The sequence below is a fragment of the Homo sapiens genome, chromosome 8 (genome assembly GCF_000001405.40).
Source record: "Homo sapiens chromosome 8, GRCh38.p14 Primary Assembly".
In the NCBI taxonomy this organism is placed as follows: domain Eukaryota; kingdom Metazoa; phylum Chordata; class Mammalia; order Primates; family Hominidae; genus Homo; species Homo sapiens.
Genome location: NC_000008.11, coordinates 38,907,122 through 38,926,599, shown reverse-complemented (window position 1 = coordinate 38,926,599; position 19,478 = coordinate 38,907,122). Strand labels below are relative to the sequence as shown.

At 46.3% G+C, this 19,478-nt stretch overlaps 1 protein-coding gene across 8 annotated transcripts in view, besides 1 other annotated feature; it reads right to left on the bottom strand.

Annotated features, from left to right (window-relative positions):
• The window catches only part of PLEKHA2 (pleckstrin homology domain containing A2), a 72,567-nt gene that overhangs the window by 47,313 nt on the left and 5,776 nt on the right, over positions 1 to 19,478 (bottom strand). For 5 of the 8 annotated variants that reach the window (NM_021623.2, XM_047422067.1, XM_011544607.4 and 2 more), the window contains exon 2: positions 8,530 to 8,693. The exons of 1 other annotated variant lie outside the window; for it this stretch is intronic. In NM_021623.2, the coding sequence (NP_067636.1) occupies positions 8,530 to 8,670 (141 nt within the window). In that variant the 5' untranslated portion in view covers positions 8,671 to 8,693. Of the gene's footprint in view, positions 1 to 8,529; positions 8,714 to 8,893; positions 13,183 to 19,478 lie in introns of those variants that run through there. 2 more of the 8 variants (XM_047422068.1, XM_011544606.3) reach the window with 2 other exon arrangements.
• Positions 11,772 to 12,453: an enhancer, noted in NCBI's record as "H3K27ac-H3K4me1 hESC enhancer chr8:38771665-38772346 (GRCh37/hg19 assembly coordinates)". NCBI's record gives its function as "activates a minimal SCP1, AML or CMV promoter by ChIP-STARR-seq in primed H9 embryonic stem cells {active_cell/tissue: H9 hESC(primed)}" and the evidence as "EXISTENCE:reporter gene assay evidence [ECO:0000049][PMID:30033119]".

Genomic DNA, 19,478 nt, shown 5'->3' with positions numbered 1-19,478 from the left:
TACAACTTGTTTAAAAAATATGATGGCTACAGAAAACACATAAAGCAAAATTGCAGTTTCTAATTCTACATTAAGCTCTCAAAAAGCCCACATATAATTTTAATTCTAAGCATGTTTTGACCAGGCCCAGTCAAATCCAGCAGTGAGCTCTGACTGCACACTACACTTCAGTCTCGGAGACGGAGTAAGAACCCTGTCTCTAAAAAAAAAAAAAAAAAGTACTTTTTAATAATATTTTTACCCTTAGCAAAATTTGCATTTGGTAAAAGTACAGATTTGTCACTTATAATCTTCTTTTGGGATTTTTTTTTTACCAAAGGATTCTGCGTTCTTACTCTAACACACTACAGACAAAAGCACATCAAATATTCCACTGACTCCTGGAAATCACAAGTCTACATGGATAGTTAAGATATCAATTACACAAAATCCATGAATTGAAGACACTTTGCCCAAACAATTTGCTGAAGATCTGAAAGTTACCATGATCTTAAGAGATAGTCTCTCAGGCAGAGATTATCTCCAGACAGACACAAGAAACTGTCAAGACTGGCTGCCCCTGCTGAGAGGACAGAAGTGGGAGGGAGAAATTTGTCACTAACTCTGCATTCCTACATTCCAAATTCTGCACCACGTGCATCTATTGCCCAATTTTTAAAGAACATTATTTCCTGGTTCTTGGCATTCTGACAGGTTGAAGCATACAATGCAAAAATTATTCCTGGCTTTCAGCCAAAATTTGCTTAGGAAAATTTCACGTTTTTTTAAAAAAACACCAATTTTCATGTAGCCTTTAAGACAACAGTATTGTCCATTATACATTATGTGTTATTATAACCTCCTCCCATAACTTTGTATGCTTTCTACTAAAATGCACCAAATATCCATCTTCTTACCAACACTGCTAACGCTCTTCACCCCATCAATGGAAAGAACTGCTTTCAGTTTATTTAAAAAAATTAAATAAAAGCAAAGGGCTTTCATTGGCACCCCAGGAGTACTAAGAGCCATGCAATCTTTTTGGTTATTTGATGATCCATGAGTCATATCGTGGCCTTTGGAAAGTAAAAGCAACTACGTATTTTTTGGAAAAAGAGGAAAAAACACATTTGACAGAGTAAATTTGACAAGACCAGCAATCTAGTGCAATATTGTGTTTCACGCTTCTGTTTACTCTTTGTTCAGGGCCATATAATTTGGTCTTGCAATTACTTAGCCAAGTGGACTTTAGAAAGTGGGGGATGTAAGCAATTCTCTGCAACTAAAACATAGTTAGTCTGCAGATTGCTGTACTAGAGTAGGGCGGCCCTAAGGAATTTCATCTCCTCTATCATGACGGGAACCAATGTGAAATCAAAATACAAGCGCTAGTGCCATAATATTGTAGTAACATTTTAAGGAAAATCAAGCCAGCATTTGTTTCTGTTCAAGAATTATTTGATTGCATGCAAGATGAAGAAGTTCTAGAGTAGGGAGACTGGCTGTATTACATCGTGCCTACAGTCAACAATATGGTATCATGCATTTAAAAATTTGTTAAAAGGGTAGATCTCATGCTGAACATCCTTACTATAATTTAAAAAAAAGTTTGCTTGATATTGTCAGTATATTGATTTTTAAATGCATTAGCCAAATCAGTGTCCATAATCAATAATACTGAGACTTTCCATTTATACAGGTCCTTTTTAGCTAATGGGTTTTTGTTCTATATCAGTTTAGAGTCACCACTGCCTGTACGAGAAGCCTTGATTCATTACTTAACCACACTGATTCTAAATTCTGCCAGACATTCAAGGCTGCGCCTGGCCCACGCTGTGTTCTGATCCCCAACACACCCCCACCGTATGTCCATCTAGCAGACGTTGCCACTGACTTCCCAAATTCCCTCCATCTCTTTTTGCCATTTGGCTGTGCCTTCCATGGCCTGCATCTACAGCTCTGCTTCAGAGAACTGCCTCTGGGCTGCTGGAAGCCATTCTGCCCACATGTGCAGAGCTGGAGCCAGTGACTGCCCGGTGCAGGCACACGAAAGCCCAGCTCCCTGAGACAAGGCTGAGGCATGACTCACCCCAGCGCTCCTGCAGGCCCACAGTGAAACCATCCCTTGCTCAGACCTCCACCTGAGTTCACACCCTTGTCTGGCCTCCTCCCTTCCCTGTCCTCCTTCCCCAGCTCTCTTCACAGTCCCCGCGGGAACATTTCCTCAATAAAGAACTTCCTGACAGATCTTGCCTCCGCGCCTGACTCCCTGTCTCAGCGCCTGACTCCTCGTCTCAGGGTCTTCTTCTGGGGACCCTGACGACCCTAAATGCCCCTCCAACCAGGCGAGCTCACCTCTGCCCCACAATGACTGCTGTTTCCCCAACTCAGAACGCCCTTCTCCTCCTCTTCATCTCTGCTTGGGGCAGAGTAGGTATAACAATCAAAGGACATCTTGTAAGTGAAAACCGGGCCAGGCGTAGTGGCTCACATCTGTAACCCAGCACTTTGGATGCCGAGGTGGGTGGATCACCTGAGGTCAGGAGTTCGAGACCAGCCTAGCCAACGTGGTGACACCCCCATCTCTAATAAAATACAAAAAGTAGCCGGGCATGGTGGTGCAGGCCTGTAATCCCAGCTACTTGGGAGGCTGAGGCACGAGAATTTCTTTAAGCTGGGAGGCGGAGGTTGCAGTGAGCTGAGATCGCGCCACTGCACTGGATCCTCGGCAACAGAGTGAGACTCTGTCTTAAAAAAATAAATAAATACAAATTTTAAAAAGTAAGTGGAAAACCCACAAAATGCTCTGCAAATACAAATAATGTATAGCAAAAATGAACCTCACACACCCTTCAACATCTGGATCTAGTGACACCTCCTCTATGAAGGGGGGCCCCCAGCTCTCCCCACCCCAATTGTCTGTTTCCCCAAATACAGTGTAAACTCTATGAAGGCAAAGACTGTCTTGTTCACTGAAGTAGCCACAGTATTTAGATCAGCATCTGGCACGCTGAACAAATTTAGTAAATATGTGTTAACAATGCTGTTGAACTCCAGGATCTCCTTCTATTCTCAGGAAATGAAAGGATAAAAGGCACGTAAGGATCACCTACAGGCTGGGCGCGGTAGCTCATGCCTGTAATCCCAGCACTTTGGGAGGCCAAGGCAGTGGGATCATTTGAGGTCAGGAGTTCAAGACCAGGCTGACCAACATAGTGAAACCCCATCTCTACTAAAACTACAAAAATTAGCCAGGTGTGCTGGTGAAAGGATCACCTAGAGTGCCCATACTCCACAGGATAAGTGACTTGCCTAAGATGTAAATCAACTTAGTGGCAGAGCCAAGATTGCAACCTTGATCTCTTATCTCTGCAGCATGAGAACTTTCCATATGAGACTCCACCTCCAAGCCCTACATCTTTCCCTTATGGGTGGCAGCAAAGGAAAATGGCAACTGCTTCTCCTTCAACCCAAATATTGGCATCCGGGCATTGGCACTGGCACCTAATGATATGCTACCCTGTTATAATGATTTGCCAGGATTATTAGCACCATAGTTTTGTGTGTGTTGTTTTCCTCTCCCCAGCTAACCCTGAAGCTTCCTGGTGGCAAAGGCCTCACCGAATTCATTTTCCACATCATCTACAAGACCTTGCACGGGCTGAGCACAGAGGTCAGTGGGAGGAGGGAGGCAGACAAAGAGGAGGTTGCACACTTGAGTCGATGGACCTGGCTCCAGCGCTGCATTTACCACCTGCACAACCATGAGCAAAGAGTAACAACAGACCCTAGGCCCCAGGATTATGGAGAGGTTCCATGGGGTAACACATGTAAAAGCATTTCACACCATAGCTGGTACATGGCAACCACTTAGTAAGTATAAGCTGCAGTTAGTAATAACAGCAGTAGCAGCAGCAGTAACAGATTCAGGCTCAGTGAACACCACCTACCAGGTGGCTTCAACACACAAAGATCGGAGACCTGGGTCCAAAAATCTTCTGCTTATTACTGCCTATTAAATAATTAAGAAAACATAGCAGGCATCTCCTTGTCCCTATCAAATAAAGATGTTCAACGACCACACACAGTTCTCAATGCCTCTTTTCATAGGAATGGACCAAAATCCCCAGGATGCCCCTCTCTGCAGAGCTTCCATTCCATTTTGGCCCTGTCCCCAGTCCCAGGAAAGCAATGTTGGGCACTCCACATTCCCCAGTGACCTGACTTCTGACCACTTCCTTCCCTGGCCCTCTTTAGCTGGCTCATTCATTCCTTCATTCAATGAACACATATTCATCAAATGCTGGAAACACTATGATAAAAAACTAAGCCACACGAGTGCCCTACCTTCTAGGACCTCCCAGCCCCGAGAGTCCTCAGGTTTCTCTTTCTTAACCAGAAACTACCTTTGCAGGCTCTTCATCCTCCAAGTCACCCTTAGACGCCTGTCTCATTATCAGCAATAATGGCAGGGGCACTAGAGTTAGACTGCCGGGGTTAGAGTCCCAGCTGTGCTACTTTTTTATTATGTAACCACGGGCAAATTCTTCCCCTGTCAGCCTCACCCACCTCATCTTCAGAATGAGGGCAATAATAACTACCAATTAAACTTGTTGTCAGAATGAAATAAAAACCCAATGAAGTGTGCTTGGCACACAGTAATAAATGCTCACTAATACCATTTTAGAACTTAACTGAAACATCCACACTTAAATCTGGAGTGGCCGTTTGGCTGTTCACACAACAAAGAACTAACCCAACCACTGAAGAAGTAAAATGTCCTGAATTATTTCTGTATCACAGCAAGACTCTCTTTTTTCAAGAATATGCCAAGCCAGGTGAGCTCTACTGCTTCCTGGGAAAACATAAAGAATCCCCAGCAGTGGGCCACTAGTTAGTTTTACCTGGTAATTCAAACTTGAAGAAGGTTCTACCACAAAACACCCTGAGAGCTCAGCTAGCAGGAAAGAGTAAGAGCCTGCCCTGGGCCAGGGGAACCTGCTGCAGAGGCTGACCCCAGAGAGCTTAGAAGGCAGCCCGAGGCACAGCGTCCAGGCTTAGCACAGGTTCTGGGCCCCAGTGACAAATCAGAGTGAGGGGAATCCTGACAACCGTCAATATTCAAGTTCCAAGATGGTGCCACTGTGGTCCTGGGTGATCTGCCACTGACAGCACAACTCTCAGTCTGTGACCCAGGGTGTGAAGAAAGATCCAACTCTCCAGGGAGGCAGCTGGCAACAGCCAGACAGGATTCCCCAAGCAAGTCAGTTCGGGTAAAGCACAGCCCTAGTGGGGAAGCATGGCGTGAAGCAGGTAAATCAAGACAAAAATCCATTCGAATGACTTGCACTAACACAGCAGGTGAGTGGGAGGAAGTACACAAAGGAGGAGAATGGAGAGGGAACGTGAAGACCCATAAGTCACCCAGGGCTCATCTCTGGTGTGCCCAAAGCCAAGTCTACTGGCAACAAACATTTAACTCCAGCCAAAGCAGAAGCATCGCTTGAAACCAAGAGTTCAGGCCAGTCGCAGTGGCTCATGCCTGTAATCCCAGCACTTTGGGAGGCCGAGGCCGGTGGATCACCTGACGTCAGGAGTTCAAGACCAGCCTGACCAATATGATGAAACCCCGTCTCTACTAAAAATACAAAAATTAGCTGGGCGTGGTGGCTGACGCCTGTAATCCCAGCTACTCGGGAGGCTGAGACAGGAGAATCGCTTGAACCCGGGAGGCAGAGGTTGCAGTGAGCTGAGATCGCGCCATTGCACTCCAGCGTGGGCAACAAGAGCAAAACTCTGTCTCAAAAGAAGAAAAAAAAAAAAGAAACCAGGAGTTCGAGACCAGCCTGGTCAACAAAGTGAGACCCTCCATCTCTACAAAAAATAAAAATAATTAGCCCAGTGTGGTGGCGCACACCTGTAGTCCCAGCTACATGGGAGGCTGAGGTGGGAGGATCACTTGAGCCCAGGAGTTTGAGCTATGATTGCATCACTGCACTCCAGCCTGGGCAACGGAGTAAGATCCCAAATTGAAAAAAAAAAAAACGGCCAGGTGCAACGGCTCATGCCTGTAATCCCAGCACTTTGGGAGGCCAAAGCAGGCAGATCACTTGAGGTGAGGAGTTCAAGACCAGCCTGGCCAACATGGTAAAACCTTGTCTCTACTAAAAGTAACAAAGTGGCTCATGCCTGTAATCCCAGCACTTTGGGAGGCCAAGGTGGGCAGATAAGGAGGTCAGGAGCTTGAGACCATCCTGGCTAACACAGTGAAACCCCGTCTCTACTAAAAAAAAATACAAAAAATTAGCTGGGCGTGGTGGCGGGTGCCTGTAGTCCCAACTACTCGGGAGGCTGAGGCAGGAGAATGGCGTGAACCCGGGAGGCAGAGCTTGCAGCGAGCCGAGATCGCGCCACTGCACTCTAGCCTGGGCAACAGAGAGAGACCCCGTCTCAAAACTAAATCAATAAATAAATAACAAAAATTAGCCGGGCATGGTGGTACATGCCAGTAATCCCAGCTACTGAGGAGGCTGAGGCAGGAGAATCACTTAAATCCAGGAGGCAGAGGTTGCAGTGAGCCGAGATCATGCCACTGCACTCCAGCCTGGGTGACAGAGCAAGACTCTGTCTCAAAAAAAAAGAGAGAAAAGAAAAGAGCAAAGGAAAGGAAAATGATATCGCAGGGCCTGAAGGCAAACCAGGCCCATTACATGACAAATGGCAGCATTCCAGGCTGAGTTGAGGGTGTCACAGTGTGCCTAGGAAGGGTTCATTCTGAATACTAGGCACTTCAAATGAAAGTAAGCAACAGGTTTATCAGGGCTGCAGGGTGAAACATGGGGCTCAGTTCTACTTAGGGTTAATCCTTGCTAGAGAAGGCAATTAGCAGCAGCTGACTTTCTGAGTATGTTTTCCGCATCTATGCTGTTTTTCTCTTGGTCATCAAATCTAGAAGACAAATGCCCAAGATCACTAGATGATTAGTCCCTGGACAGTGACCTAGAGATTCACATAACTCATTTTCCACATTGCATCTTAAAGCATAACTCCATCCCTGGGACATTCAGAATTTCCTCTTCCCAAGCCTCGGAACTAGAGCCAAATCCCAGATCCCACACCCTTCTTCATCCCAACACAGCCATGACCTGTGACCTTGCTGTTCAGAGGCCATGTCAGTGTTTGCAGGCTCATTCCACCAAATCACTCAAGGGTAGGGGAAGGAAAGAGCTAACAGCACTCAGGGCCAGAATAAGAAAAGCCTTGAGATCCCAAATCAGGGTGAAGCAACTTGTTCCCAGAGCAGTGATGACTCCAGGGACTCCTAGACATAGCAGTCAAAGGTAGGTGGCCCCCATCTTTGTGCCTGACCTCCACAAGATGCTCAGCAAGTCACCTAATTCTGACCATGTCCTTGCCAAGATCCAGTGCAGTGTCTGAGGCTCTCTTCTCATCTGGACCATGAGGAAACAAAACTGGGTGACCTCCAAGGGCACCTCCAATCCAGGATTCTAGGACTTCCTGAGTCAGGAGACCAAAGAAGTCCAACATGTGTCCGGCTCAGGGAACCAGGTCACATTCTCTGCTGGGGAGGGGCCCCCAGACTGGAAGAGCAGGAGCAGCCACAGGCCACAGCCCTGGAGAGAAGTAACAGGAAGCAAGCCATGCCTTGGAGCCTGGATCCAGGACTTGGATCTCACTGGCAGATCCTGGCTGGTGTCTGCGTGTGAGAGCAGACACCAGATGCCAGGGTCAGGACAGCATCATTCTCTCCAAGCTAAGATCTGAGATGGTTTTCTGTGTGTGTGTGGATGGGTGTGTATAGTATGTGTGTAGTCTGTGTGTATATGTGTGTGTGCATGTGTGTGTATGGTGTGTGCGTGTGCGCATGTGTCTGCATGTGTATGAGGTGCATGCGTGTGTGGTGTGTGTGGTGTGCGTGGGGGTGTGTGTGTATGGGGGTGTGTGTATGGTGTATGTGTGTCTCTGTGTGTGGTGTGTGTGTATGGCTTGTGTATGTGTGTATGGGATGTGTGTGCATGTGTGTGCATGTGTGTGTATAATGTGTGTGTGGTGTGTGTATATGGGGTGTGTGTGCATGTGTGTATGGTGTGTGTCTGGTGTATGGGTTGTGTGTATGGTGTGTGTCGTGTGTGCATGTGTGTATGGTGTATGGGTTGTGTGTGTGTATGGTGTGTGTGGTGTGTGTATGTGTCTGTGGTATGTGTATGGGGGGTATGTGTGTGTGTCTGTGTGGTGTGTATATGGTGTGTGCATGTGTGTATGTGTCGTGTCTGTACAGTGTGTGTGTGGTGTGTGTGTATAAGGTGCATGTGTGTGCGTGTGTGTGGTGTGTATGGGGTGTGTGTGGTGTGTGTGCACGTGAATGTGCATTTGTGTGTGTGTCTGTGTGTGTTGTAGGGTTGTCCCCTCCCTGCTGATCAGCAGGTTGTGTTGCTCACGAGCCTAGGCCTGGAGGCTAACCCTGTGTGCATTCCTCTGGCGCAGTGATGGGCACCCAGTCGCCCCACCCCTTCCCACTGACCCTCTCACCTGGGGGTTGTCCATATACCAGAGGAGGCAGTTAGCCTGGGTGTCCAGAATGAAGTACCTCCGCAGAAACTTGCCGCTGTTCTCATGCTCCTCGATGTCCAGAAACCCACAGATTCGGTTCTGCCGATCCACATAAGGCATTCCTGGGCTCTGCTCACATCACCCTGCGCGCAGGAGGGAGGTGCTGATGAGAAGGAAGATGAAGCAGCTCTGCCTCAGGACCTGCAGGAATCTTTTCCAGAAGCTGGGCTGAGACTCTCACCAGCTTCCTTCCGTGGGGGCACCAAATGTTCCATCCCAGACCCTGGAAACCTCTCCCAATGTTAAGCACCCCTAAAAATCCATTCACACGTATTCAACTCACTTTTCCAAGGCTCTATGTGCCCAGGATAGCATTGGGCACTTTACATCCATAGAGGAGATAAGCCCAGACTTTAGATCAGGGGCCTGCATTCAAATTCCAGTTCTGGATACTTGTTAATTGTATGACCACCAATTATTTAACCTTCGTGTGCCTCAGCTTCTGCATCTGTAAAACGGGGTTAATAATAAGGCTTGGGCTGAGAATTAAGTGGTAGGCACACAGTAAGCACTTCCTGAACAGTAGCTATTATCGTTGCTCTGCACAAAACCTTGTGAAGTGGCTCGCAACTCAATTTTATACATGGAAGAAATGATCTCAGAAAGGATGTAAGCTCCAATTCAAACATCTGAATAAAATTCTGCCAGGCTCTTGAACAATACCCCACAAGCACAGGCAACCAAAGCAAACATGGACAGGCGGGATCACATCAAGTTAAAAAGCTTCTGCACAGCAAAGGAAACAATCAACAAAGTGAAGAGAAAACCCACAGAATGGGAGAAAAATCGGCAAATTACCCATCTGACAAGGGACTAATAACCAGAATATATAAAGAGCTCAAACAACTTTATAGGAAAAAAAATCTCATAATCCAAATTTAAAATGGACAAAAGATTTAAACAGACATTTCTCAAGGAAAACACATACGAGTGGCAAACAGGCACATGAAAAGGTGCTCGACATCATTGATCACCAGAGAAATGCAAATCAAAACTACAATGAGATATCATCTCACCCCCGTGAAAATGGCTTTTATCCAAAAGACAGGCAACAACAAATGCTGGTGAGGAAGTGGAGAAAAGGGAACCCTTGTACGGTATTGGTGGGAATATAAATTAGTATGACCACTATGGAGAACAGTTTGGAGATTCCTCAAAAAACTAAAAATAGATCTACCATATGATCCAGCAATCCCACTGCTGGGTATATACCCAAAGAAACGAAATCAGTCTGTTGAAGAGGTATATCTGCACTCCTATGTTTGTTGCAGCTCTGTTCTCAATAGCCAAGATTTGGAAGCAACTTAAGTGGCCATCAACAGATGAATGAATAAAGAAAATGTGGCATATATACACAATGGAGTACTATTCAGCCATAAAAAAAGAGTAAGATCCTGTCATTTGCAACAACATGGATGGAACTGGGGATCATTATGTTAAGTGTGAAATAAGAGAGCCACAGAAAGACAGACATCACATGTCCTCACTCATTTATGGGATCTAAAAATCAAATCAATTGAACTCATGGAGATAGAGAGTAGAAGGGTGGTTACCAGAGGCTGGGAAGGGTAGTGGGGGGCTGGGGGGAAATGGGGATGGTTAATAGGTACAAAAAATAGTTAGAAAGAGTGAATAAGACCTACTATTTGATAGTACAACAGGGTAACTATAGTCAATAATAATTTAATTGCACATTTTAAAATAACTAAAAGAGGCCAGGCATGGTGGCTCATGCCAGTAATCCCAGCACTTTGGGAGGCTGAGGCAGGTGGATTACCTGAGGTCAGGAATTCGAGACCAGCCTGGCCAACATGGTGAAACCTCGTCTCTACTAAAAATACAAAAAATTAGCCAGTCGTGGTGGCGCATGCCTGTAATCCCAGCTACTCAGGAGGCTGAGGTAGGAGAATCGCTTGAACTCAGGAGCTGGAGGTTATAGTGAGACGAGATCACACCATTGCACTCCAGCCTGGGCAACAAGAGTAAAACTCTGTCAAAATAAAATAAAATAATATAACTGAACAGTCTGTAACGCAAAGGATAAATGCTGAAGGGGATGAATACCCCATCTTCCATGAAGTGACTGTTACGTGCTGCAAGCCTCATGTACCCCATAAATATATACACCTACTACGTACGCACAAAAATTAAACATAAAAAATTTTTCTAAAATTCTGCCAGGAATTAAGTCACAAAGGACAGCCTCTCCAGCTCCATGAAGATACCAAAAGATTAAAATGCAAAGGGTTTCTGGAGCCTTGAGGTAGGGTCACAGCCCCGGCCCAGCATCTTACATCACTCCACTGTCATTGTTACGGGGTGAATTATGTCCTCTCAAAATTCATATGTTGAAGTACTAACCCTAAGGCCCTCAAAATGTGGCTATATTTGGAGACAGGGTCTTTAAAGAGGTGACGGAGTTAGCATGATGTCATTGGCATGGGCCCTAATCCACTATGACTGATGTCTCCGTAAGAGGAGGAAAGACCCTGTGAAGACACAGGGAGGTGACAGCCATCCAGAAGCCGAGGCGCAGGCCCTGGACAGATCTTTCTCTCACGGCCCTCAGAAGAAACCAACCCTGTTAACACCCTGCCCTTGGACTTTCAGCCTCCAGATCGGTGAGAAAATGAACTTCTGCCGTTTAAGCGATCCAAACTGTGGTCCTTGTTTATGATGGCCTGAGCAGCCTAATACGGTTACCCTTTATAATGGAAAGAATGAGGAATCAGAACAAAGTCCCAGGCTGGGTGCAGTGGCTCACAACTGTAATCCCAGCACTTTGGGGGACTGAGGTGGGAGGATCGCTTGAGGCCAGGGGTTTGAGACCAACGTGCGCAACACAGTGAGACCTCGTCTCCACAAAACAATTTAAAAATTAGCCAGGCACGGTGGCGTGCCTGTAGTCCCAGCTACTCAGGAGGCTGAGGTAGGAGAATCGCTTGAGCTCAAGAATTTGGGGCTGCAGGGAACCATGAGAGCACCACTCCACTCTAGCCTGGACGACAGAGTGAGACCCTGTCAGAAGAAGAGGAATAAAGGAAGAAAGAAGAAAAAGGAGAAGAAGGAAGAAAGAAGAAAGTCCCAGCCCGTGAGCACTATCCCCGACTCCGGAACTGTCTCTCTGGTAATGTGGGATGAGCCACACCTTCAAACCAGCCAACCTCTGCTCTTGTTGCAATTTTCTTAGGCCTCTCTGAGAGCCAAAGGGAAGGGCGAGAGCTCTATCCTGCTCCCCAACGAAGATTGGCCCCTTTCAATGAGCAGAGACACCCAATTCAAATGCACACCCAGTGCTGACGTGGGACAAGGGTCCCACAAGGGATCCCAAAGCACCACGTGACATTCAGACTTTCAAGGTCAGACCCCACCCACTGCTGAGCCCTGACAGGCTCCAACAGAGTGGAGTTCCTGGTGGCCCAAGCCCATGAAGGCCCTCTGTCCACAGCCACACAAAGTTGTGAGATGGCTGGCTCAGGCCATCCCCCACAACGGGACGCTGGGTCAGCAGGTGAGCTAGAGAGACCCAACAGCCCCGGTACTGCAGGCCCAGAGGGAGACACCCTCCCACAGCACAGGCTGACATCAGGCAGATTCAGATCAGGCTAATAGTAAGGGTGGCGACTGGTGGTGTGGCATGTTCTCTCCCATCCCCACAAGGGCCAGTGCTGAGAGGCAGCCCCTAGGAACAAATGCCCCCAAAACACACATATGGATACCAGTGACTGGTGAATCCCTTGATCCAGGTGAGGTCAGGGGGACTGGAGACACAAACATCAGGGAGATGCGTCGGGGAATCCCACAGCTACTCAGTGCAAAAGGATAGGGGACAAAGAGCAAAGCAGGCGAGAAACAGGACAGAGGTGAAACAGCACAGCTAAGGAAGAAGTCAGAGGAGCTGCAGTAAAAGAGGTGGTGAGAAGGATCAACCATGGACAGAGGAGGTTTCAGAAACACAGCAGAAAAGGATGTGTTGCAGCACAGCAGGGGCCAGGGGAGGCACACCCCTGCCCAAAGCAGCAACCCTTCCATTATGGCACCTGCGGACAGACCCAGGGCCTCCTCCAACAAAGCTTCCGCCCCAGCTCCAGTTTCACAATGGAGCAAGTTTGAGTTCAGAAACAGGAGAGAGATGGGCACAAGCCAGTAATGAGGAACAGACGCCACAGAAGGAACGTGAAGTCTCCCAGCAGACATTGGGTCAAAGGCAGCAAGGGGAGTGGTCTGGCGCTGGCTGGGGGCGGGGGAGCATATCCTGGAAAGAAGCCTCAGCTCCCTGGATGACGGAGGAACAAGAGTCCCACCAGAAGGGCTGGGTCAGCATTCCGGGAAGGGTGCAGAGCTGCCTGGTCAGGATGCTGGTGATCGCCAGCCCCTCAAGAAAACCAGGCAAACTCCCTTGATGCCCAACCAGTCACAGACAGATTTGCAGGGGCTGCAAGGACTATCGCTACTCTTGAGGCACCTCCCAGAGAAAACACACAAGCTCCTGTGGAAGAGCAAAGGTAACTGTCCTGGGCTCAATCGCTAAGCAAGGTGTCCAGCTGAACATTGGCTTTCAAATTTCCCCTTTTTAGCCTGCAGGATTCATCTTTCCTTTTTCTTTTTTTTTTTTTTTTCCTTTTTGAGATGGAGTCTCGCTATGTCACCCAGGCTGGAGTGCAGCAGGGCAATCTTGGCTCACTGCAACCTCCGCCTCCCAGGTTCAAGCGATTGTCCTGCCTCAGCCTCCCAAATAGCTGGGATTATAGGTGCACATCACCACACCCAGCTAATTTTTGTATTTTTAGTAGAGACGGGCTTTCGCCATGTTGGCCAGGCTGGTCTTGAAATCCTGACCTCAGGTGATCCACCAGCCTCGGCCTCCCAAAGTGCTGGGATTACAGGCATGAGCCACCATGCCTGGTCATGCCTGTCTTTTTCTGAAGTCAGGGGCTAAAGAAGGCACTCTTTCTACAATCCTCTAAAAGTCCAGTTTTGTTTCAGGGGCCTCACGGTGGGAGAGGGCCCTCACGGACCCAAGGGAAAGATAAGCATTCAGGTTACATCTCCTGACTGTGCTTCTATCCCTAGAAAAAAACAGCTGCTCAGACGTCCCGAGAAGCAGCTGAGTCACAGAGCTCATCAGGAATGTGGGAGGTGGGGGGAAGGACTGGCTGCAGGAGAACAGAGCATCACACAGAAATGTGGCTCTAACTAGCTGACCCACGCAGCAGCGGCACGTTCAGATGCTGCACACAACATGAACCTCAGGTCCTGAGCCCTAATCCTCTGATGGTTCATTCTGATCCCATTTGTACATCCTTTGTCTCAACAGTTGCTAAGATTGGGTCCACAGAGCTGCCCCAGGCCCCCAGATCCACTGTCCTCGCCTCCTCTGCCATGTCACCATAATCTTCCAAATCTTCTCTGGCTCTTCCTCTTCTTCACAGAGGCCTGTGTGGAAGTTAACTTTGCCAGCTCATCCCTAGCTTCTACTATTCTAGCAATGAGCCAGTGAGGGGAGAAAGGGGAGTGCCAGTAGTAATTGGTACTTAGATGGGGGAACAACTTGGTGTACATATATATGCTATCACCCCCAAATCCCCTGCCAAGACCAAGGCAAAGCTTCAAAATGTCTTTTCTAACTCTCACAACACTCTGCCAGTTACATGGTTGGTTTTTTGTTTGTTTGTTTTGTTTTTTGAGACAGAGTTTTGCTTTTGTCGCCCAGGCTGGAGTGCAGTGGAGCCATCTCGGCACACTTCAACCTCCACCTACTGGGTTCAAGTGATTCATTCTCCTGCCTCAGCCTCCAGAGTAGCTGGGATTACAGCGTGTGCCACCACATCCGGCTAATTTTTGTATTTTTAGTAGAGATGGGGTTTCACCATGTTGGCCAGGCTGGTCTCAAACTCCTGACCTCAGGTGAACCACCAGCCTCAGCCTCCCCAAGTGCTGGGATTATAGGCGTGAGCCACTACGCCCAGCCAAAATCACTTACCTTAAATTTCATTTTATGTTTTTATTTTTTAGAGACCTGGTCACACTCTGTTGCCCAGGCTGGAGTGCAGTGGTGTAATCGTAGCTTACTGCAGCCTCCAACTCCTGGGCTCAAGCCATCCTCCTGCCTTAGCCTCCCCAGTAGCTGGGACTACAGGTGCACACCACCATGGAGGGCTAATTTTTTAATTCTTCGTAGAGATGGGGTCTCCCTACATAGCCCAGGCTGTTTTCAAACTCTTAGACCCAGGCAATCCTCCTGCCTCAAGCCTCCCAAAGTACTGGGATTATAGGCATGAGCCACCACACCCAGCCTTAAATTTCATTTTGTCCTGAGTTCCCCAGTGTGAAAATATTGGGTAGAGGGTGACCGAGGGTGGTTTATCTCAAGAGTTCCCAGGTAAGCCTGTGGGCATCCTGACAATACCCAGCCCTCATCTCCTGGGACAACATGGAAAGCGTTCATGCTGGGGCCTGGCACGGTGGCTCACACCTGTAAACCCAGCACTTTGGGAGGCCGAAGCAGGTGGATCACTTGAGTTCAGGAGTTCAAAACCAGCATGGCCAACATGGTGAAACCCTGTCTCCATTAAAAATACAAAAATTAGCCAGGCATGGTGGTGCGCACCTATAATCCCAGCTATTCGGGAGACTAAGACAGGAGAATTGCTTGAACCTGGGAGGCGGAGGTTGCAGTGAGCCGAGATCATGCCACTGCACCCCAGCCTGGGTGACAGAGTGAGACTCCCTCTCAAAAAAAAAAGAAAGTGTTCATGCTGGGTTAGAGCTCTAGATACCCCTGTCTCTAGATGGTCCCTTCACCTTTGCTCTCATACCGTAATGAAACTATCTGGCAAGTAGCTTCCTGGCCTTCACAACACACAGCTAACAAAGCACACAGGGTATTTGTAAGAGAAGGGGCCTCTATCCAACCCACTCAGCACCCTATCTTCCCTAGCCAAACCTCCCTCGTGTTTTCTGGGTTTAGTGCAAAAATCATAATATAACAATGCTGGAATTATTTTAACAATCACTCCAGCCAACAATTTTCACATTTGCATGCTTTTTCATGTCCCTATCCACATAATTGGCCTTTTTAAAACTTAAGATGATGTCATAAGCATTTTCCATGTTGCTACATAGTCTTTATAATCGTTTCTAATGGTTGCATAACATTAATGGACTGGTTTTACTATAATTTACATAACCATTTCTCTACAATTAAATTGAAGGTTATATCCAATTTTTCACTGTTATACATAAGGCTAAAATTTGTATTTTCATGCTTTATTTCTTCTTTTACATGGAAAGAGCATAAATTCCAAGTAATAATATGAGATCACAGGCTATGATCTTTCATAATTCTTGAGTCCTTTTACAAAATTGTTTTCTAAAAAGATGTTATCTATGTTGCAACCAGCAATATATTGTTATCATCACTATAATCTTACATATATTGAATGTTCTCATTATTTTAAACTATTGGTGGTTTCAAATACATAATGACATCTAGTGAGGTTGAATGTTTTTTAAATGTTTGTTTCCTATTTCATCTACTTTCCTGAACTTCATTAAAAGCAAATCAAAAGTATGTGCATACAGAATTCCTCTCTTTCTGTCTCCCTCCCTGTCCTTCTCTCCCTCTCTCCTTCATTCTCTCTCTCCCTCTCTTCTCTGTCTCTCACAAACAAACACCAAACCAAACCAAGACGTAGCCTCATATTATTCCAGTAACTAAAAACTGTATTTCAGGCTAGGCATGGTGGCTCATGCCTGTAATCCCAGCACTTCGGGAGGCCAAGGCGGGCTGATCACTTGAGCCCAAGAGTTTGAGACCAGCCTGGGCAACATGGCAAAACCTCATCTGTACCAAAAATACAAAAATTAGCCGGGCATGGTAGTGCATGCCTGTGGTCCCAGCTACTCAGGAGGCTGAGGTAGGAGGATCACTTGAGCCCTGGAAGTGGAGGCTGCAGTGAGCCGAGATCACACCATGGCACTCCAGCCTGGGTGACAGAGTGAGACTCCATCTCAAAAAAAAAAAAAAAGTATTTTAATGAAAAGAAAAACAAAAAGTGGGAAGTTTTATATGATCCAGATTTCTAAGTAGAATATAAGTTCTTAAGTATGTACTGCGAATGAAAATAAGTATTTATGATACAAGTGAAACTTGGGGAAAGAAAGTGAGTTTGCATGGAGTCACCCATTAATCAGTGGCAGAAAGTGTGTTAAATGGCAATTAAACTGAGAGATTCCTGGCCGACACCTGCCAGTTGACTAGAAGCAGCTCATGAGAAGGAAGTCAATGGCTGCCTGCCAGAGAATGAAATGGGGGGCACTGGGAGGTATTGCAGCCCCAAATATCTCTCTACTGCCCATTCCCATGCCTTAGGTTCCACCAGTGGAGATTCAAGCCAAGAAAAAAATTGCCCCGAGGAACTGAGGCAATGGATAACTTTGCAAGGCTCATAATATACAAGAGACAGCTGGGACCCAGACCCTGAGAAAATAGCACATAGCCCAGATGGGACACAGAGGCATAGAGGGGCTGAAAGGGAAAGATCACTGCTTAAAACAGATGTTGTCTACTTGAAAAATGTTCCTAGGATTCTTATACACCCAGGACAGGACTATGAACCTTTCTGGAAAGCAATTTAGTTGTATATATATAACAAGAAAGCAAAAAATGTTCATACCCTTTGACCCAGTGATTCTACTTCTAGGATTCCATCCAAGTCAATCAACAAAGATGCAAAGAAAGATTAAAGTAAAAAGATGGCAACTGCAATAGAATTTATAGTAACAAACAACTGGTAATGTCCTGAACAACACAATGGTTAGAAAATAATTCTTTTTTTTTTTTTTGAGACAGAGTCTCGCTCTGTCGCCCAGGTTGGAGTGCAGTGGCGCCATCTCGGCTCACTGCAACCTCCGCCTCCCAGGTTCAAGCTATTCTCCTGCCTCAGCCTCCTGAGTAGCTGGGACTACAGGCGTGCACCACCACGCCCAGCTGATTTTTGTATTTTTAGTAGAGATGGGGTTTCACCATGTTGGCCAGGATGGTCTCGATCTCCTGACATCATGATCCACCCACCTTGGACTCCCAAAGTGCTGGGATTACAGGCGTGAGCCACCGCGCCTGGCCCAGAAAATAATTAAATAAACAACAGGACATACTCACAAGGAAATATTACACAATAATTCAAAAACTCTGTTTTCAGGTTATTTTTAATGAATGAGGGGAAAACTCACCACATCATAAGTTTTTTAAAAGATATGAAATGGTACATAATATGATCTCAATCATCCAAATATTATTCTTATATTCCTATATACGGTCTGTTTTAAAACCAGATATATAGTCACCAAAACAGTAAGTTATTATCTACGGGCTATGAGTGGAATTTCATTTACTTGTACATATTTTTCCAAATCTTCTACAGGGAGCATGTGTTACTTTATTTAGCAGGAGAGAAAGCTATTTAATTCCACACAGATTCCCACCCAAGTGTATAAGTTTTGAATCTGATAATAAATTTCTCAATTCTCCAGAGTCCACAAACAAACAAGGCCTTCCCTAAATTATAGCTCTCTTGGAACTTTTTGGTGTTTTAAAGACCTAAACCTAATAAATAAATGTTTCACATCTCACAATCATCCAAGAGCCAGATATCTACCTGCCCAGAGGGCTTTAGCACCCTCCAAGCTGTTTGGGTTTCTTACTTCGTATGGCAACATCCTCTGAGCGCCTTTCCCTCTTTCTCCTGCTGGTGTGGTCCCTTGCTCTCTGGTCTTAAGAAGCACCCAGGTCCTCGGGCCAACAGAATACTCAGTCCCAAGTCGATGCTGCTATTCCTCTATTCCTACAACACATGAGCTGTACCTTGAAAAGTGCTCTGGGAAAAGGAAATGGGGACCCTGACAGGAACGCCCAGTGGAGTTTTCCTTCTTGAAACTTGGGAGATAGGACTGACATTTTAAAATAAGTGTCAGGTGAGGTGGTGTGCACCTATAGTCACAACTATTGGGGAGGCTAGGGCAGGAGAATCTCTTGAGCCCAGGAGGTGGAGGTTGCAGTTGAGCCAATGTCTCACACCATTGCACTCCAGCCTGGGTGACAGGAGTGAAACCCTGTCTCAAAAATACATACATACATACATACATACATACATACATACATACATACATAAAATAAGTGGCTGGCTGGATGAGTGAAAAGATGAATAGATTAATTTTTTTTTTTTTTTGAGATATGGTCTCACTCTGTCTCCCAGTCTGGAGTACAGTGGCACAATGATGGCTCAATGCAGCCTCCACCTCCTGGGCTCATGCGATCCTCCCACCTCAGCCTCCTGAGTGGCTGGGACTACAGGCGTGCACCACCATACCCAGCTAATTTTTGTATTTTTTGTAGGTTGCCCAGGCTGGTCTCAAACTCCTAGGCTCAAGTGATCCTCTGGCCTCAGCCTCCCAAAGTGCTGGGATTATAGGCATGAGCCACTGTGCCCAGCCAGATAGATTTATTTTAAAGAAAAGCTATAAAGGTATTAAGTAATGAGAGCTGTGGTTTTCTGAATAGCCCTCTTGATTTTGAAGATGGCTAACATAATTTGGAGACAGAGGAAAGAATAGAGGGAAATATGGGAGACTCTGCCTGACTACTTTAGCATTTTTGAGATAAATAATAAGAGAAAGTGATAACAGAGATAAAGCCTTCAGTGGTATTGGCTGAAGTACAAAATTACTACAACCTCAGTTCAAAAATGAGAAAAAAATTACTCATTTTTAAAATTTAGAGATGTTTCTTTCACATTCTGTGTTAGCAGGACAAGGAATTTCTGGGATTTTGCTCCAGAAAATATTCAAAAGGTGCTTTTTGACAAGGA